Source organism: Homo sapiens, chromosome 19 (assembly GCF_000001405.40).
Source record: "Homo sapiens chromosome 19, GRCh38.p14 Primary Assembly".
NCBI lineage: Eukaryota > Metazoa > Chordata > Mammalia > Primates > Hominidae > Homo > Homo sapiens.
The window spans coordinates 12,864,032-12,882,095 of NC_000019.10; the positions used below are offsets into that span (position 1 = coordinate 12,864,032).

The 18,064-nt window shown below is 55.5% G+C and overlaps 2 protein-coding genes across 2 annotated transcripts in view, besides 8 other annotated features; one reads left to right on the plus strand and one right to left on the minus strand.

Moving 5' to 3' along the window:
- Positions 1-10,921, plus strand: part of MAST1 (microtubule associated serine/threonine kinase 1) — a 36,438-nt gene extending 25,517 nt beyond the window's left edge. The window contains exons 13-26 of the mRNA NM_014975.3: positions 778-916; positions 1,015-1,147; positions 1,285-1,450; positions 1,686-1,787; positions 1,949-2,071; positions 2,622-2,731; positions 3,443-3,621; positions 3,699-3,946; positions 4,612-4,818; positions 5,035-5,264; positions 6,793-6,915; positions 7,005-7,141; positions 9,293-9,480; positions 9,578-10,921. Of these exons, the coding sequence (NP_055790.1) occupies positions 778-916; positions 1,015-1,147; positions 1,285-1,450; positions 1,686-1,787; positions 1,949-2,071; positions 2,622-2,731; positions 3,443-3,621; positions 3,699-3,946; positions 4,612-4,818; positions 5,035-5,264; positions 6,793-6,915; positions 7,005-7,141; positions 9,293-9,480; positions 9,578-10,839 (3,347 nt within the window). The 3' untranslated portion in view covers positions 10,840-10,921. The remainder of the gene's footprint in view (positions 1-777; positions 917-1,014; positions 1,148-1,284; positions 1,451-1,685; positions 1,788-1,948; positions 2,072-2,621; positions 2,732-3,442; positions 3,622-3,698; positions 3,947-4,611; positions 4,819-5,034; positions 5,265-6,792; positions 6,916-7,004; positions 7,142-9,292; positions 9,481-9,577) is intronic.
- Positions 746-1,534: an enhancer, noted in NCBI's record as "NANOG-H3K4me1 hESC enhancer chr19:12975591-12976379 (GRCh37/hg19 assembly coordinates)". NCBI's record gives its function as "activates a minimal SCP1, AML or CMV promoter by ChIP-STARR-seq in primed H9 embryonic stem cells {active_cell/tissue: H9 hESC(primed)}" and the evidence as "EXISTENCE:reporter gene assay evidence [ECO:0000049][PMID:30033119]".
- Positions 1,535-2,322: an enhancer, noted in NCBI's record as "NANOG-H3K4me1 hESC enhancer chr19:12976380-12977167 (GRCh37/hg19 assembly coordinates)". NCBI's record gives its function as "activates a minimal SCP1, AML or CMV promoter by ChIP-STARR-seq in primed H9 embryonic stem cells {active_cell/tissue: H9 hESC(primed)}" and the evidence as "EXISTENCE:reporter gene assay evidence [ECO:0000049][PMID:30033119]".
- Positions 3,120-3,900: a transcriptional cis regulatory region, noted in NCBI's record as "genic|chr19:12977965-12978745 region (GRCh37/hg19 assembly coordinates) targeted for CRISPR interference". NCBI's record gives its function as "positively regulates KLF1 gene expression in K562 cells {active_cell/tissue: K562}" and the evidence as "EXISTENCE:mutant phenotype evidence [ECO:0000015][PMID:31784727]".
- Positions 3,544-3,838: an enhancer, noted in NCBI's record as "tiled region #6054; HepG2 Activating non-DNase unmatched - State 10:DNaseD, and K562 Activating DNase unmatched - State 1:Tss". NCBI's record gives its function as "activates a minimal TATA promoter and a strong SV40 promoter by Sharpr-MPRA in HepG2 and K562 cells {active_cell/tissue: HepG2 | K562}" and the evidence as "EXISTENCE:reporter gene assay evidence [ECO:0000049][PMID:27701403]".
- Positions 11,178-17,418, minus strand: DNASE2 (deoxyribonuclease 2, lysosomal). Its single transcript, NM_001375.3, has 6 exons — positions 17,259-17,418; positions 16,941-17,121; positions 16,771-16,849; positions 14,639-14,803; positions 14,351-14,548; positions 11,178-12,332 (listed from the first exon to the last, which is right to left on the minus strand). The coding sequence occupies exons 1-6, from the start codon at positions 17,342-17,344 to the stop codon at positions 11,959-11,961; spliced, it is 1,083 nt and encodes a 360-aa protein (NP_001366.1). The 5' UTR covers positions 17,345-17,418; the 3' UTR covers positions 11,178-11,958.
- Positions 16,949-17,576: an enhancer, noted in NCBI's record as "H3K27ac-H3K4me1 hESC enhancer chr19:12991794-12992421 (GRCh37/hg19 assembly coordinates)". NCBI's record gives its function as "activates a minimal SCP1, AML or CMV promoter by ChIP-STARR-seq in primed H9 embryonic stem cells {active_cell/tissue: H9 hESC(primed)}" and the evidence as "EXISTENCE:reporter gene assay evidence [ECO:0000049][PMID:30033119]".
- Positions 16,949-17,800: a biological region, named in NCBI's record as "CRISPRi-FlowFISH-validated KLF1 regulatory element 1". NCBI's record gives its function as "regulatory_interactions: KLF1".
- Positions 17,236-17,345: an enhancer, noted in NCBI's record as "active region_14088". NCBI's record gives its function as "activates an Ori minimal core promoter by ATAC-STARR-seq in GM12878 lymphoblastoid cells {active_cell/tissue: GM12878}" and the evidence as "EXISTENCE:reporter gene assay evidence [ECO:0000049][PMID:35858748]".
- Positions 17,240-17,800: a transcriptional cis regulatory region, noted in NCBI's record as "promoter|chr19:12992085-12992645 region (GRCh37/hg19 assembly coordinates) targeted for CRISPR interference". NCBI's record gives its function as "positively regulates KLF1 gene expression in K562 cells {active_cell/tissue: K562}" and the evidence as "EXISTENCE:mutant phenotype evidence [ECO:0000015][PMID:31784727]".

Here is an 18,064-nt window from a genome sequence, read left to right on the forward strand (position 1 = left end):
CTTCTGCCTTAGCCTCCCGAGTAGCTGGGATTACAGCCGTCTGCCAACAAGCCAGGCTAACTTTAGTATTCTTTTTTCAGAGATGGGGTTTCACCATGTTGACCAGGCTGGTCTCGAACTCCTGACCTCAAGTGATCCACCCGCCTTGGCTTCCCAAAGTGCTGGGATTTCAGGCGTGAGCTACCATGCCCAGCCTTGAACAATTTTTTAAAAATCAGCTGGGCATGGTGGCTCACATCTGTAGTCCCAGCTACTCAGGAGGCTGAAGCAGGAGGATTGCTTGAGCTGGGAGGTTGAGGATGCAGTGAGCTGTGATCTTGCCACCGCACTCTAGACTGGGCAATGGAGTAAGACCCTGTCTCAAAAAAAAAAAAAAAAAATCTAGTGAAGACCAAGAATCTGCATCTAAGGCTTCCAGCTCCAAGGTTCAGACACCAGGAGATAGAGGGCTGTGCTTCCAGATGCAGTTGATAAGTGGGTAGCCTTTGTTCCCCAACTAAACCTCACCTCTACCAACAACTGCCTGCATGACCCATCCTTTCTTTGAGTCTCCATCCCTTTGTGTATAAGATGAGCTGATGACACCAACTTTGGAGGATGGCTAAGAGGACAAGAAGAACCCAGTAGAGGACCTGGAGGGAGGGAGGCCCCTCTCAGAGCCTCAGTTTCCCTTATCTATAAAACGGGTACAACATAACATGAGAAGTTGGTGCTATGGTGCATGTCCAGAGAGAGGAATGCCTCCCTTTTTATGCGGGCCCATTTCCTGGCCTGCAGGCGGCGACTGTGCCACCCTGCTGAAGAATATTGGAGCGCTGCCCGTAGAGATGGCCCGCATGTACTTTGCTGAGACGGTGCTAGCCCTGGAGTATTTGCACAACTATGGCATCGTGCACCGCGACCTCAAGCCTGACAAGTGAGCTTTGATCTTTCCCATCACTCCCTCTGTCCCTCGGGAGGCCAGGAGGCAGAATGGACGGGCCTCATCCCTGAGATCCCCACCTGTGCCTACAGCCTCCTTATCACCTCCATGGGTCACATCAAGCTCACAGATTTCGGCCTCTCCAAGATGGGGCTCATGAGCCTCACCACCAACTTATATGAAGGCCACATCGAGAAGGACGCCCGAGAGTTCCTGGACAAACAGGTGTGTGTGCGGGCATGGGGGTCGCTGAGGGTGGAGTGACCCTGCAGGACCTCGGGAACCCAGGGCCTGGTGGGGGGCACAGCTCTCCCTTGAGGGCCCTCCTCTGGCTGGGGCGTGGGCTGACAGCCTGCCCCCAGGTGTGTGGGACCCCAGAGTACATCGCGCCCGAGGTCATCCTGCGTCAAGGCTACGGCAAGCCAGTGGACTGGTGGGCTATGGGGATCATCCTCTACGAGTTCCTGGTGGGCTGTGTGCCCTTCTTCGGAGACACACCAGAGGAGCTATTTGGACAGGTCATCAGTGGTACGTGGCTTGGCAGTGTACAGGGGCAGAGTGTGGTGTGCACGGAGAGATGGACAGGCTCAGGGTTCCAGGGATTTCAAAAGCGACCCCCCAGAGGATCGCTTGCACTCAGGAGGTCAAGGCTGCAGTGAGCCATGATCGTGCCACTGCACTCCAGCTGGGTGACACAGTGAGATCCTGTGTCCAAACAACAACAACAACAAAAACCGCCCCTAAGTTCCGTTTTGTTTTGCAGATGACATCCTGTGGCCCGAGGGGGATGAGGCCCTACCTACGGAGGCCCAACTCCTCATATCCAGCCTCCTGCAGACCAACCCTCTGGTCAGGCTTGGGGCAGGTAAGTCCGCCATGCAGAGGAGCTGAGGGCCCACTGATAGAGAGCAGGCCTCCAAAACCCCAGGCCCAGCCTGTGCTGTGGCCCCGGGGCGGAAGACATGGGGGGCGGGGCTGGGCTGCTGGGTTGGCCATCAGCTGTGGCTGGAATCCCTTCCGTCCCAGGCGGCGCTTTTGAGGTGAAGCAGCACAGTTTCTTTCGAGACCTGGACTGGACAGGGCTGCTGAGGCAGAAGGCCGAGTTCATCCCCCACCTAGAGTCGGAAGATGACACTAGCTACTTTGACAGTGAGCTGGGACACCAGGCACGACCTGGGTCGAGGGGTGGGATCCGGGAAGAGGGACCCTGGGGTAAGTAAAGCCTGGGATAGGGCCTGGCTAAGTACCAAGATGTGATGCCTAGGTGCGAAGGTGGTATTTTGGTGGGGGCGGGGCCAAGTGGGGCGGGGCTGACATACAGGCGGGGCTCAGGCTGAAATGTAGGTAAGAACCTGAGATTGGGCTAGGTGTGGGGCCTGGCCTGGGTGAGTTGTGAGTGTGGGCCTGGAACTGAACTAGAGAGAGGTACTAGCGCTCAGAATGGCCTGGGGTGATGCCAGGGTGCAGAGCACTGTAGGTGGAGCGTGGCCTCTTTGGAGGCGGGGCTAGACGGTGCCACTGAGAATGGGGCAAGGACCTTGCCTGGGAGCGGAGCCTAAATTAAATACACTAATGAGGCAGGGGCGTGGCCTGACCTGAAGACTTGTAAACCCGTCTTGAACCAGGACTGGGCTCCTGTGGGGATGTGATATGAGGAGGAACCCCGTACCCTCAGTCACAGCCCATACCCGCTCCCCAGCCCGCTCAGACAGGTATCACCACGTGAACTCCTATGACGAGGATGACACGACGGAGGAGGAGCCCGTGGAAATCCGCCAGTTCTCTTCCTGCTCTCCGCGCTTCAGCAAGGTGGGCCAAGTCTGGGTGTGGGACAGGGCGAGACCCCAGGAGGGATGGGGCTTGGAGAGACAGTGAGAAACAGGTTCCCTGGTGCCCAAGGTCTCAGGAGCGGGAAGTTATTGATGGGGCGGGAGTCTGGAAGGTGGTAAGGCCACGCAAGAGGCAGGTTCGGGAGTCTATGGGACGGGCCTTTGGCACTGAGTGGAATCTAACAGGAATCAGGACAGTTGTGCAGATTGAGGCCATGGTGGGGCGGGGCTAGGTGTGGGTGGGGCGGGGTCAGGACGTGGGAATGAGGCCAGCAGCGAAGGCGGAGTAAAGCCCAGCGAAGTCTTGCTTTTATTTATTTATTTTTATTTTTTCTAATAACGGGCAGAGAAGCCATAGGCCTTGCTTTGAGAAGCAACTTGTAGAGGCGTGCAGGGCCTAGCCTGGGCTAAGGAGACATAAATTAAGGGGGTTGCTGGGAAGATGGGGCTGTGTAGAGAGCAGATTGGTCAGGGCATCGTCGGGGCAGAGCCTAGAATAAAACGCAGTGCCTAACTTTGTGGTGTGGGGCCTGAACTGAAGAATTGTAGGTTGGGGGATCATGCACAATTGGGCGGAGCCAGGCCTCGGAGGGTGGAGTGCGTTTTGCGGGGGATCCACTGCCAGGAAGCTGATTAGCTCCGGAGTGAAAGTGGAACCCGGGCTGGACTTGCCTCCCACCACCACCTACAGGTGTATAGCAGCATGGAGCAGCTGTCGCAGCACGAGCCCAAGACCCCAGTAGCAGCTGCAGGGAGCAGCAAGCGGGAGCCGAGCACCAAGGGCCCCGAGGAGAAGGTGGCCGGCAAGCGGGAGGGGCTGGGCGGCCTGACCCTGCGTGAGAAGACCTGGAGAGGGGGCTCTCCGGAGATGTGAGCAGGGGAATGGCGGAGTTTGGGGGCGGGGTCGAAGGGGGCGTGTCTTCCATAACCACGCCCCCTCCATGCAGCAAGCGATTCTCCGCGTCCGAGGCCAGTTTCCTGGAGGGAGAGGCCAGTCCCCCTTTGGGCGCCCGCCGCCGTTTCTCGGCGCTGCTGGAGCCCAGCCGCTTCAGCGCCCCCCAAGAGGACGAGGATGAGGCCCGGCTGCGCAGGCCTCCCCGGCCCAGCTCCGACCCCGCGGGATCCCTGGATGCACGGGCCCCCAAAGAGGAGACTCAAGGGGAAGGCACCTCCAGCGCCGGGGACTCCGAGGCCAGTGAGTGCCCTATCGTGCTGCCTTCCCCAATCTTCCCCAATGTCCTACTGGTCATATAGTGAGCATCCCACGAGCCTGGTGCTGTTTATGAAAGATCTCAGGTCCTATTCACATTGCAATTTGGGATTTTTTTTTTTTTTTTTTTTTTTGAGACAGAGTCTCACTCCATCACCCAGGATGGAGTGCAGTGGCGTGATCTCGGCTCACTGCAACCTCCACCTCCCAAGTTCAAGTGGTTCTCGCACCTCAGCCTCCCGAGTAGCTGGGATTACAGGCGCGCGCCACTACCCCCGGCTAATTTTTGTATTTTTAGTAGAGACAGGGTTTCTTCATGTTGGCAAGGCTGGTCTCGAACTCCTGACCTCAAGTGATCTGCCTTCCTTGGCCTACCAAAGTGCTGGGGTTACAGTCGTGAGCCACCACACCCAGCCCAATTTGGGATTCTTAACATTAGAAACACCCCAATACCATGGTCAGTCAGTGATACAGACCGATACAGACTATGTCTCTATATGAGGAGCAGTGAGGCATGCAGGTTACCTGCTCAGATGAAACTCACCATCCATCAAGGGTAAAAAGTGGAAAGAGCATTCCAGGCAGGGAAACAGTATGTGGGAAATCCCTGGCCTTGGACTAATTCCTAACACACTTGCTTTCTGTTGCAGCTGACCGTCCACGCCCAGGTGACCTCTGCCCACCCTCGAAGGATGGGGATGCATCAGGCCCAAGGGCTACCAATGACTTGGTTCTGCGCCGGGCGCGGCACCAGCAGATGTCAGGGGATGTGGCAGTAGAGAAGAGGCCTTCTCGAACTGGGGGCAAAGTCATCAAATCAGCCTCAGCCACTGCCTTATCTGTCATGATTCCTGCAGGTAATGCTGGGCCCCACCTGGCAGGGGAGGGGCTGCCCCCCATTTGAGGCAGGACAGACCAATGAAAATGCTGCATTTTCCCTGTCCACCGTGATTGGCTCCAGGCTGGACCAATGAGAGGCTGCTCTGCCACTGCCTTGGGAGGAGGGAGGAGCAGATACAGGGAGATGTCTATCTTCTTGGTTCTGATTTCTGACCATGGTTGTGTGTCTGTAGTGGACCCACATGGAAGTTCACCCCTTGCTAGTCCCATGTCTCCACGATCTCTGTCCTCCAACCCATCCTCACGGGACTCCTCACCCAGCCGGGACTACTCACCAGCTGTCAGTGGGCTCCGCTCCCCCATCACCATCCAGCGCTCGGGCAAGAAGTATGGCTTCACACTGCGTGCCATCCGTGTCTACATGGGTGACACGGATGTCTATAGTGTCCACCACATTGTCTGGGTGAGTACTCATGGGTGGAGTCTCCATCACAGAGTGGAGGGTGGTGGGGAAAAGGCCCCTCCAGCTCAAACCAGTTAGCCTGGGTGAGACACCTCTGTGACCCTCTATGCCTCTTCCCTCTCTAAACCTGTTTCTTTTTTCTTTTACTTTTTTATTTTAGGCGGAGACTCACTGTGTCGCCAGGCCGGAGTGCAGTGGCAGGATCTCGGCTCACTGCAACCTCTGCCTCCTGAGTTCAAGCCATTCTCCTGCCTCAACCTTCTGAGTAGCTGGGACTACAGACAGGCGCGCGCCACCACGCCCAGCTAATTTTTGTATTTTTAGTAGAGACGGGGTTTCACCATGTTGGCTAGGATGGTCTCAATCTCTTGACCTCGTGATTCACCCACCTCGGCCTCTCAAACTGCTGGGATTACAGGCGTGAGCCACGGTGCCTGGCCGAGACTGTTTCTTCATCTGCAAAATGGGGAGAATAGGCCAGGCGCAGTGGCTCAGGCCTGTAATCCCAGCACTTTGGGAGGCTGAGGTGGGCAGATCACTGGAGGTCAGGAGTTTGAGACTAGCCTGGCCAATATGGTGAAACCCTGTCTCTATTAAAAATACAAAAATTGGGCCGAGCGCGGTGGCTGTAATCCCGGCACTTTGGGAGGCCGAGGAGGGTGGATCATGAGGTCAGGAGATCGAGACCATCCTGGCTAACATGGTGAAACCCCCTCTCTACTAAAAATACAAAAAATTAGCTGGGCATGGTGGTGGGCGCCTGTAGTCCCAGCTACTTGGGAGGCTGAGGCAGGAGAATCGCTTGAACCCGGGAGGCGGAGCTTGCAGTGAGCCGAGATTGCGCCACTGCACTTTAGCCTGGGCGACAGAGCAAGACACCATCTCAAAAAAAAAAAAAAAAAAAAAAAAAATGGCCAGGCGCGGTGGCTCACGCCTGTAATCCCGGCACTTTGGGAGGCCGAGGTGGGTGGATCACGAGGTTAGGAGTTTGAGATCAGCCTGACCAACATGGTGAAACCCCATCTCTACTAAAAATACAAAAAAAATTAGCCAGGCGTGGTGGCAGATGCCTGTAATCCCAGCTACTCAGGAGGCTGAGACAGGATAATCGCGTGAACCCGGGAGGCGGAGCTTGCAGTGAGCCGACATCGCGCCACTGCACTCCAGCCTGGGTGACAGAGCGAGAGACTCCGTCTCAAAAAAAAAAAAAAAAAAAATTAGCCGGAGGTAGTGGCGCATGCCTATAATCCCAGCTACTTGGGAGGCTGAGGGAGGAGAATCGCTTGAACCTGGGAGGCGGGTGTTGTTGCAGTGAGCCAGGATTGCGCCACAGCACTCCAGCCTGGGTGACAGAGTGAGACTCCGTCCAAAAAAAAAAAAAAAATGTGGGGGGAGGAATAATAACTATTTCACAAGGTGTTATGAGGATTCTAATGCATGCAGAGCTAAGTGTCCTGCATATAAGTTTAGGAGCTTTCCTTGTTACCAATCCCACTAACCCTGTCCCTATGGGGTGCTCTTTTCCCAGCATGTGGAGGAAGGAGGCCCAGCCCAGGAGGCAGGACTCTGTGCTGGGGACCTCATCACCCACGTGAATGGGGAGCCTGTGCATGGCATGGTGCATCCTGAGGTCGTGGAGCTGATCCTTAAGGTGAGTGCAGGGAAGGAGGCACCCTGGGCGGAGGGTGGGGGAGGCCTGAGCAGCCCCTAGCAGAGCATTTTCCCGCATTCTTCCCCCAGAGTGGCAACAAGGTAGCAGTGACCACAACGCCCTTCGAAAATACCTCTATCCGCATTGGTCCCGCAAGGCGCAGCAGCTACAAGGCTAAAATGGCTCGGAGGAACAAGCGACCCTCCGCCAAGGAGGGCCAGGAGAGGTGGGCACAGCCGTAAACAGCCTGGTCTTTGAGCAGTGGGTGGAACTTAGGCGGGAGGGGCACAGATGAGGATGGAGAAGGGAAGAGCACGGGAAAGGTGGCGGGAACAAATGACCAACAAGCAAAGGGAAGAGGACAATTAAGAGGGGCTGCGGGCTGGGCGCGGTGGCTCACGCCTGTAACCCCAGCACTTTGGGAGGCCGAGGCGGGCAGATCACGAGGTCAGGAGTTTGAGACCAGCCTGGCCAATATGGTGAAACCCCATCTCTACTAAAAATACAAAAATTAGCCTGGCATGGTGGCGCTCGCCTGCAGTCCCAGCTACTTAGGAAGCTGAGGCAGAAGAATCCCTTGAACCCGGGAGGTGGATGTTGCAGTGAGCCAAGATTGTGCCACTGCACTCCAACCTGGGCAACAGAGTGAGACTCCATCTCAAACAAACAAACAAACAAACAAACAAAAAAAGAGGGGCTGGGATGAGTCACACCTGTAATCACAGCACTTTGGGAGGCTGAGGCAGAAGGATCACTTGAGCCCAGGAGTCAAGATTAGGGGCAACATAGAGAGACCCCATCTCTACAAAAAACTTAAAAAACTAGTTGGGTTTGGTGGCACACACCTGTGGTCTCAGCTACTCGGAGGCTGAAGTGGGAGGATTGCTTGAGCCTGGGAGGTCGAGGCTGCAGTGAGCTATGATCTCACCACTGCAGTCCAGCTGTGACAACAGAGCTAGACTCTTTCAAAAAAAAAAAAAAAAAAAAAAAAGAGGGGCTGTAAAAGTGGAAGGAGCCAAGAATGGAAGCTGTGCCAAATTTCTAGGATCAGAGAAAAGCATTGTAGGAGGGTCTTGCACATATAGGCAGGCCCAGGAGATGTGAACTGGAAAGGGAGATGTCCAGAGACGGAGGGGGTCCAGGAGATGGTCCTATCCTGTTAGATGTGTTTAGACAGAACTGGGAAAGGCTAGAATAAGAAATGTCTATCTGGAATGAGCATGCCAGGCAAGGTTCAGCCAACTGAAATCCTATTTTCCCTTATAGATAGGAGGAGCTAGGTGGGAGGTGGGTGGGGCCAGAAGGGTATTCTGTTTGTTTGTTTGTTTTTAGTATTCTGTTTTGATCAGTGAGTTTGGCCCAGACAAGTACAGGGATTTGGGTGAGAGGAGCCAGACGGGGTTGAGATAAGTACATTTCTTCCCACTCTTATAGGTGGGTTGTAGTGGAAGAGGCGGGACTAGAGGCAGGTGGGACCAAGTTGGTTTTGTTTGGATGTGTTTCTAGCCTGGACTGGGAGTGGCCAAAAGGTTGGGCAGGACCTGAAGTGGGAGGAGGGAGGAGCCAAGCAGCACTGAGTTAAGGGAAGTTCTGTCTTGATAGGTGGGTTGTAGTGAAAGACGGAGGGACTAGAGGGGTGGGCAGGACTAGAAGAGGTTGTTTTTGGCCGGGCGAGGTGGTTCACACCTGTAATCCCAGCACTTTGGGAGGCCGAGGTGGGTGGATCACCTGAGGTCAGGAGTTTGAGACCAGCCTGACCAACATGGTGAAACCCCATCTCTACTAAAAATACAAAAATTAGCTGGGAGTGGTGGCTCACTCCTGTAGTCCCACCTACTCAGGAGGCTACTCACGAAGCTGAAGCACGGTAATCGCTTGAACCCGGGAGGTAGAGGTTGCAGTGAGCCGAGATCGTGCCATTGCACTCCAGCCTGGGCGACAAGAGCGAAACTTCGTCTCAAAAAAAAAAAAAAAAATGGTTTTGTTTGGATGAGTGTTTGTAGCCAGAATTGGGAGTGGCCTAAAGTTGGGCGGGGCCTGAAGTAGGAGGAGCTAAAGGAAGTTCTATCTTGATAGGTGGATTGTAGTGGAAGAGGGAGGAGCTAGAGAGGTGGGCGGGGCAGAACAGGTTGGTTTTGTTTGGATGCTTGTTTCTAGCTTGGACTAGGAGTGGCCAAAGGGGGTGGGTGGGGACTGAAGTGGGAGGAGCCAAGCAGCACTGAGCTAAAGGAAGTTCTTTATCTTGATAGGTGGGTTGTAGCTGGAGAGGGAAGGGCCAGAAGGGGTGGGTGGTTACCGTTGTGAGGCCGTGAAATGGGAGGAGCCCTGAGCTCTGGCGTCCAGGTCAAGGACGCTTGGCCCCCTCCCTGTCCCGCAGCAAGAAGCGCAGCTCCCTCTTCCGGAAGATCACGAAGCAGTCGAACCTGCTGCATACTAGCCGCTCGCTGTCGTCGCTGAACCGCTCGCTGTCATCCAGCGATAGTCTCCCGGGCTCGCCTACGCACGGGCTGCCGGCGCGCTCGCCCACGCACAGCTACCGCTCCACGCCTGACTCCGCCTACCTAGGTATTACCTCCTGCACCTGCGCGGGGACCGAGCAGCGCGGGGTGGCCTGGCTGGTGCTTGGGCTGTACTCACTCGCTTCACCTCCTGTCTCCCGCAGGCGCCTCATCCCAGAGCAGCTCCCCAGCCTCGAGCACGCCCAACTCGCCTGCGTCGTCGGCGTCGCACCACATTCGGCCCAGCACGCTGCACGGACTGTCGCCAAAGCTCCATCGCCAGTACCGCTCTGCGCGATGCAAGTCGGCCGGCAACATCCCTCTATCGCCGCTGGCACACACGCCGTCCCCCACGCAGGCGTCACCGCCGCCACTGCCGGGCCACACGGTGGGCAGCTCGCACACTACTCAGAGCTTCCCGGCCAAACTGCACTCATCGCCTCCCGTCGTGCGCCCGCGCCCCAAGAGTGCCGAGCCCCCTCGCTCGCCGCTCCTCAAGCGCGTGCAGTCGGCCGAGAAGCTGGGAGCCTCTTTGAGTGCGGACAAGAAGGGCGCGCTGCGCAAACACAGCCTCGAGGTGGGCCACCCGGATTTCCGCAAGGACTTCCATGGCGAGCTGGCGCTGCATAGCCTTGCCGAGTCCGACGGTGAGACGCCCCCAGTCGAGGGCCTTGGCGCGCCCCGGCAGGTCGCCGTCCGCCGCCTGGGCCGACAGGAGTCACCTTTGAGCCTGGGCGCGGACCCGTTGCTGCCCGAGGGTGCCTCCAGGCCACCAGTGTCGAGCAAGGAGAAGGAATCCCCGGGGGGCGCCGAGGCGTGCACCCCACCCCGCGCGACGACCCCCGGTGGCCGGACCCTGGAGCGGGACGTCGGCTGCACGCGGCATCAGAGCGTGCAGACGGAGGATGGCACTGGCGGGATGGCCAGGGCTGTGGCCAAGGCGGCGCTGAGCCCGGTGCAGGAACACGAGACAGGCCGGCGCAGCAGCTCTGGCGAGGCGGGCACACCCCTGGTACCCATTGTCGTAGAGCCTGCGCGGCCCGGGGCTAAGGCTGTGGTGCCTCAGCCTCTGGGCGCGGACTCCAAGGGGTTGCAGGAACCCGCACCCCTGGCGCCTTCCGTGCCCGAGGCCCCCCGGGGCCGGGAGCGCTGGGTGTTGGAGGTGGTGGAGGAGCGCACCACGCTGAGCGGTCCTCGCTCCAAGCCCGCCTCCCCAAAGCTCTCCCCGGAGCCCCAGACACCCTCCCTAGCCCCAGCGAAGTGCAGTGCACCCAGCAGTGCAGTGACCCCAGTCCCACCCGCATCCCTCTTGGGCTCAGGCACCAAGCCTCAAGTGGGGCTGACCTCCCGGTGCCCTGCTGAAGCTGTGCCCCCAGCAGGCCTGACCAAAAAAGGAGTGTCCAGTCCCGCACCCCCGGGACCATAGCCAAGGGGGTCATCGGCCCCGCGCTGTACAGCCTCCGTATACATATGTACACATATAAATAAAGTGCGTCCGTGCTGCGTGAGTTTTCTGGGGCTCACTCCTCTCCAGGCAAGGCGAGACATCACACGACCCCACCCCCATGCCCAGGTGCTTTTTGGGAGGTGGGACTCCAGTTCTGGTTACCATGGAGAGTGGAGGGAATTTTGGATAGACACCTCCTGTGGTCCCACTTCTGGTCTCACCTCTGCACCAACTGCCCCCAAACCTTTAGGGGGAGAATTGAAGCTGCGATGCTCTTGTGTCCCAGCGCCCACCTGAAGAGAAGGTTAACAGCCTCGTCCACCAATTTCCATTTATTTACTCCTCAACAATCCTGATGGCAGGTATTATGTTTCCCATTTTGCAGACAGGTAGACTGTGTCACAGAGCGGTTAAGGCACACAATCAAGGTCATACAGCTAGGAAGGGGATGAACTGGGATTCAAAATCAAGTCCAAACTGGTTCCTGAGCCCTTAGATTTTTTATTTTTTATTTTTTTGACACAGAGTCTCATTCTGTCACCCAGGCTGAAGTGCCGTGGTGTTAGCTCAGCTCATGACAACCTCTGCCTCCCGAGTTCAAGCGATTCTCCTGCCTCAGCCTCCCGAGGAGCTAGGACCACAGACGCGTGCCACCATGTCTGGCTAATTTTTAAATATTTTTAATGGATATGGGGTTTCACCATGTTGGCCAGGCTGGTCTCGAACTCCTGACCTCAAGTGATCTGCCCATCTCAGCCTCCCAAAGTGCTGGGGTTACAGATGTGAGCCACTGCACCCACCCGTCCCCCGCCCCCCCTTTTTTTTTGAAACAGAGTCTTGCTATGTGACCCAGGTTGGCGTAATCATAGTTCACTGTGACCATGATCTCCCTGGTTCAATCGATCCTCTGGCTTCAGTGGCTGGGACTACAGGCATTTATCACCGTGCCTGGCTAACTTTTTTTAAGTTCTAGTAGAGATGTGGTCTCACTATGTAGCCCAGGCTGGTCTCGAATTCCTGAGTTCAAGTGATCCTCCCTCCTTGGCTTCCCAAAGTGCTGGGATTACATACGTGAGCCACTGCACCTGGCCATAAGGGTTAGATCTTATAAGCTCTGCTGGGCTTCCTGGCCATGCCATTACAGGGCTGGTAGTTCTTCACCAGCGGCTGGAAGGCTTTCCAGAGGGCTGGCAGCTGGGCACACAGTGTGCCCCCACCCCGTTGCTCCTCTCCCTGGTTCCGATTCATGTCACCCACGCAGGTCCAGGGCCCTTTTGGGGACACGCACCATTTGGAGTGGTCCTCTGTGCTGTTGAAGCTTGGGCCGGCTGGTCCAGGGAAAGCTATCTGGTTCACATTCAGAACCTGCCAGATATCCGAGCAGTTAGAGGGCAGGATGCCTACAGTTTTGTGCCAGAACTGGACCTGCAGGTTGGTACCAAGGGCTGCTGCCAACCAGCCGGAGTACAGGTCTGCAAAGGATGGAGAGAGGGCACAGGTAGGGTCAGGGCCACTGCGAGGGAGTCCCTAGTCCACTTCCCCTCTCTCAGCTCAGTTTCCATATTTCCTTTTTTTTTTTTTTTTTTGACATGGAGTCTTGCTCTGTCGCCCAGGCTAGAGTGCATTGGTGCAATCTAGGCTCATTGCAACCTCTGCCTCCGAGGTTCAAGTGATTCTCCTGCCTCAGCCTTCTGAGTAGCTGGGACTACAGGCATGCACAACCATACCCGGCTAATTTTTTAATAAAGAGGGGTTTCACCATATTGACCAGGCTGGTCTCAAACTCCTGATCTCAAGCAATCCGCCCACCTCGGTCTTCCAAAATGCTGGGACTACAGGTGTGTGTCACCGCGCCCTGCCACAGTTTCCATATTTCTGAGCTCAGTTGTCAATTCCCAGTCCTGGGAATGATGACATTAATATTAATTGCCCTTCCCAAATTTGTTTTTGAGACAGAGTCTCACTCTGTCGCCCAGGCTGGAGTGCAGTGGTGTAATCTCGGCACACTGCAACCTCTGCCTCCTGGTTTCAAGCGATTCTCATGCCTCAGCCTCCTGAGTAGCTGGGATTACAGGTGCCCGCCACCACACCCGGCTAATTTTTGTACTTTTAGTAGAGATGGGGTTCCACCATGTTGGCCAGGCTGTTCTCAAACTCCTGACCGTGTAATCAGCCAGCGCCCTCCACCATGCCCAGATAATTTTTGTACTTTTAGTAGAGATGGAGTTTCACCATGTTGGCCAGACTGGTCTTGAACTCCTGGGCTCAAGTGACCCACCCGCCTTGGTCTCCCAAAATGTGGGGATTACAGGTGAGCCACCGCGTCCGGCCCTGAGTGTTTTTAATTAATTAACTTATTTATTTTGAGACTGGGTCTCATTTTGACACCCCAGCTGGAGTGCAGTGGCAGGATCATGACTCACTTGCAGCCTCGACCTCCTGGGCTCAAGCTGTTCTCCCACCTCAGCCTCCTGAGTAGTGGGGACTACACGTGTGTGCCACTATGCCCCACTAATTAAAATTTTTTTTGTAGAGATGGGGTCCCGCTGTGTTGCCCAGGCTGGTCTCAAACTCCTGGGCTCAAGCAATCCTCCTGCCTCGACTGGGATTACAGGTGTGAGCCACTGTGCCTGGCCTATTTATTTGTATTTATTTATTTATTTATTTATTTTGAGACACAGTCTCACTCTGTCACCCAGGCTGGAGTGCAGTGGCACTATCTTGACTCACTGCAAGCTCCACCTTCCGGGTTCACGCCATTCTCCTGCCTCAGCCTCCCGAGTAACTGGGACTACAGGTGCCCGCCACCATGCCTGGCTAATTTTTGCACTTTTAGTAGAGACAGGGTTTCACCGTGTTAGCCAGGATGGTCTCGATCTCCTGAGCTCGTGATCTGCCCACCTCAGCCTCCCAAAGTGCTGGGATTACAGGCATGAGCCACTGTGCCCAGCCTATTTATTTATTTTTAAATAAAGACAGGGTCTTGCTCTGTCACCCAGGCTGGAGTGCAGTGGAGTCATTATAGCTCACTGCAGTCTGAAACTCTGGGCTCAATTTATCCTCCTGCCTCAGCCTCCCAAGTTGCTTGGCTAATTTTTAATTTTGTAGAGATGAGGTCTTGCTATGTTTCCCAGGCTTGTCTTGGATGCCTGTCTTCAAATGATCCTCCTGCCTCAGCCTCCTAAGTAACTGGGATTACAGGAGTGAGGCACCACCTCTGGCACCCAAATGACTTACAGGTACCACTTCATTCACAATTTTTTAAGTAGATGTCAGTATCCCCATTTTTCAGATGAGTAGACCAAGGCTCAGGTGAAGTTATACATCACACAGCAAAACCCAGGGTTTGAACCCAGGTCTGTTCACTGATCATGTGATTATAGCTCCCAAACAGACCTGGTCTCTACCGCTGACTTGAACTCAGCCATGGCCACACCAGTCACCCTGTCTGCAGAGAAGGAGCTCTCCAACCCTCAACCTTGAGACTCACCATCTCCAAATTTGCTGAACTTGGCAAAGCTCTGGAAAACAGCCCCGGCCTGGGATGTGAGTGTGATGCTGCTGTTCCAGGGTTCTTGGCTAACGTGGTGGCCCTTGACCACATTCTCCAAGTCGGGGAATTCCTGGGCAAAGATCCCTTCCAGCTGGTAGTTATAGACCCAGGGGTAGGTGTAGGTCAGCTGCTTGCCTGGAGGACAAGGGGAGGAGGAAATGCAAGATCGTTCCAGGTTCTGGTCAGTAAACCCAGGACTCATCCTGTGTCCCTGACTCGACTTACCCATCTTCGAGAACTGAGCGAAGGGAAAAGACACACAGAGCAGGGTCTGCCCGTAGGTACAGGCGCTATGAGGCCAGCTGTATGCAGCAGAGGAGGCCGGTGGAGGGAAGTTAGGTACACTGTGGACCAGCCAGAAGCCCCCATCGTGGTCAAGGAGCAGGACACCTGGACCAAAAGAAGGCATTAGGGGAGGTCGGGCGCAGTGGCTCACGCCTGTAATCCCAGCACTTTGGGAGACCGAGACACACAGATCACCTGAGGTCAGGAGTTAGAAATCAGCCTGGCCAACATGGCGAAACCCCATCTCTACTAAAAATACAAAAATTAGCTGAGCGTGGTGGTGGACGCCTGTAATCCCAGCTACTCAGGAGGCTGAGGCAGGAGAATCGCTTGAACCCAGGAGGTGGAGGTTGCAGTGAGCTGAGATCCACCACTGCACTCCAGCCTGGGCCACAGAGCAAAATTTCATCTCAAACATAAGTAAGTAAGTAAGTAAATAAATAAATAAATAAATAAATAAATAAAAATTTAAAAAAAGAAGGCAGGCCCCACGCAGTGTAATCCCAGCACTTTGGGAAGCCGAGGAGGGCGGATCACCTGAGGTCGGGAGTTCAAGACCAGCCTGGCCAACATGGAGAAACCTCATCACTACTAAAAATACAACATTAGCCGGGCATGGTGGTGCATGCCTGTAATCCCAGCTACTCGGGAGGCTGATGCAGGAGAATCACTTGAACCCAGGAGGCGGAGGTTGCAGTGAGCCGAGATTGCACCATTGCACTCCAGCCTGGGTAGCAAGAGCAAAACTCCTTCTCAAAAAAAAAAAAAAAAAAAAGGCAATTAGAGGGTATTGCTCCAGGCCTCCCAGCAAGCTCATCTGCAATCAGGAACACCCTCAGTTTGCAGCGGGGCTTAGAGAGGGTGCCAGCAGTGTTAGAACCACAGCTGAGCTCAGTTTTTGCAGGCATAAATTCTTATAGTCCAGAATAACGCCAAGAGTAATGTAAGGTAGGGAAACAGGCCAGGTGTGGCGGCTCATGCCGGTAATCGCAGCACATTAAGAGGCCAAGGTGGGTGGATTGCTTGAACCAGGACTTAGAGACCAGCCTAGGCAACATGGCAAAAGCCCACTCTACAAAAATACAAAAAGTAGGCCAGGTGTGGTGGCTCACGCCTGTAATCCCAGCACTTTGGGAGGCCAAGGCAGGTGGATCACCTGAGGTCAGGAGTTCAATATCAGCCTGTCCAACCTGGTAAAACCCCATCTCTACTAAAACATACAACATTTAGCTGGGCATGGTGGCGCACACCTGTAATCCCAGCTACTCCAGAGGCTGAGGCAGAAGAATCGCTTGAACTGGGGAGATGGAGATTGCAGTGAGCTGAGATTGCACCACCGAACTCCAGCCTGGGTGATGGAGAGAGAGTGCCGCAAAAAAAAAAAAAAAAAAAAAAAGCCAGGCGTGGTGGGGGGTACCGGCAGGCCCAGTACTTGGGAGGCTGAGGTAGGAGGATCACCTGAGCCCTGGGAGGTCAAGGCTGCAGTGAGCTGTGATACTGCACTCCAGCCTAGGTGACTGGGTGAGACCTTGTCTAAAAGAAAATAAAATAGGGGAAATAGATGCCCAAGGTCTGACAGGGGAGATCTCCCACCCCACTATGGAGGTCAGGGGTTAGCTTGGAAAAATGCATAGGAACTCGGCTGGGCAGGGTGGCTCATTCCTGTAATCCCAGCACTTTGGGAGGCCAAGGCGGGTAGATCACTTGAGGTAGAAACCAGGAGTTCGAGACCAGCCTGGCCAACATGGTGAAACCTCGTCTGTACTAAAAATATGAAAATTAGCCTGGTGTGATGGTGCGCCTTTAATACCAGCTACTTGGGAGGCTGAGACAGGAGAATTGCTTCAACCCCAGAGGCAGAGATTGCAGTGAGCCAAGATTGTGCCACTGCACTCCAGCTTGGGTGACAGAGCGAACTCCCACCGTCTCAAAAACAAAGAAAAAAAAAAGTTGGGGGGAATAGATGCCCAGGGTCTGACAGTGCAGATCTCCCCGACCACCCCATGCACGTCAGGGGTTACCTTGGAAAAATGGGACCCGAGTCTCTCCCCAGCCCCCAATCCAGGCCTCACCCTTCGTGTGCCCACGCATGGAAGAGTCCTGAGCCTTGCTGGGTTGAGGCGGTTGGTCATTGTAGAGCAGGAAGGCGAGCTGCGGGCGGATAAACGGAGGCAACGTGAAATTCCTCCCAGGCAGGGCAGCCCTAGAGTTTCGCCCCTAGTTGGCCCGGGGCCCCCTTCACCTGGCTGGTGTTGCTCCGGTACAGCGGCTGCAGGCTTCGGCCCACGGCCCCCTCCGGGCTGTTGATGAGTGCCCTGCCGTCCCGCCAGCCTCCGGAGCTCTCGTCCAGATACTTGTACTGCAGCCCTCTCTGCGCCGCCTCCCCGGACCCTCTAAGAGCTGGCAGCTTGTAGACCACGAACCTGGAGGTCGGAGAATGCACAGAAATAGGAGAGAGGGAAGAGAAGGCACCCCAGGGTTCCCCGAGGAGGTAGCCATCCCGGTTGAGTGACCGCAGCCGGACCCCGGGGCGATGGTAGGCCCCCCGCTGCGCACTCACCAGTCTACAGGCTGCCCGGAGTCCCCGTAGCAGGTCAGGGCCCCGGCGGGGACGCACAGCAGCGCTGCCAGCAGCAGCGGGATCATAGCTGCTATGGGGCTGAGATCCAGGAATCTGTGTCGGGACTGCGGGGCGCTGGGTTACATCAGAGGCCAGGACTGGCACCTGGCGCCTTTCACTTCCCTAAACTTGCCTGGGAACCGGGGCGGGGACATCACGAGGGTACAGACTCCTCCCCCGAGACGCGATGCTGCGTTTTGGAGAGGCAAAAGGCAACGCTGAGTCTGCCCAGACCACGCCCACGACGGGCCCGGCGCTCCAGCGTCTCCTGGAGCCTGGCCACCGTTCCTTTTCGTGGTAGCTAATCCCAGCCCACGCTCTTCTGTCTGACCCAACTCCCGCCCGGGTTTCTGGATCAGGCACAAGTTTGTATTTTATTTTTTATTCCAGCCCTACAACCTGGGTCCAACTCTTGGGACCTTTGTTCTTCCTCTTTTTTTTTTTTTTTTTTTTTTTTTTTTTTTGAGACGGAGTTTCACTCTTGTCGCCCAGGCTGGAGTGCAATGGCACGATCTCGGTTCACTGCAACCTCCGCCTTCCTGATTAAAGCGATTATCCTGCCTCAGCCTCCCGAGTAGCTGGGATTACAGGCGCCCGACACCACGCCCGGCTAATTTTTGTAGTTTTAGTAGAGACGGGGTTTTTCCATGTTGACTAGGCTGGTCTCGAACTCCTGACCTCGTGATCCACCAGCCTCGGCCCCCGAAAGTGCCAAGATTGCAGAAGTGAGCCACTGCGCCCCTTAA

What these genes read in the sequence shown, in the direction of transcription:
- DNASE2 (NM_001375.3), bottom strand. Translation starts at nt 17,344, where the DNA reads ATGATCCCGCTGCTGCTGGCAGCGCTGCTGTGCGTCCCCGCCGGGGCC. An exon ending in TCCGGGCAGCCTGTAGACTG is followed by an intron (nt 17,122 to 17,258) that starts GTGAGTGCGCAG and finishes TCCGACCTCCAG; the next exon opens with GTTCGTGGTCTACAAGCTGC. An exon ending in CATGCGTGGGCACACGAAGG is followed by an intron (nt 14,804 to 16,770) that starts GTGAGGCCTGGA and finishes CTTTTGGTCCAG; the next exon opens with GTGTCCTGCTCCTTGACCAC.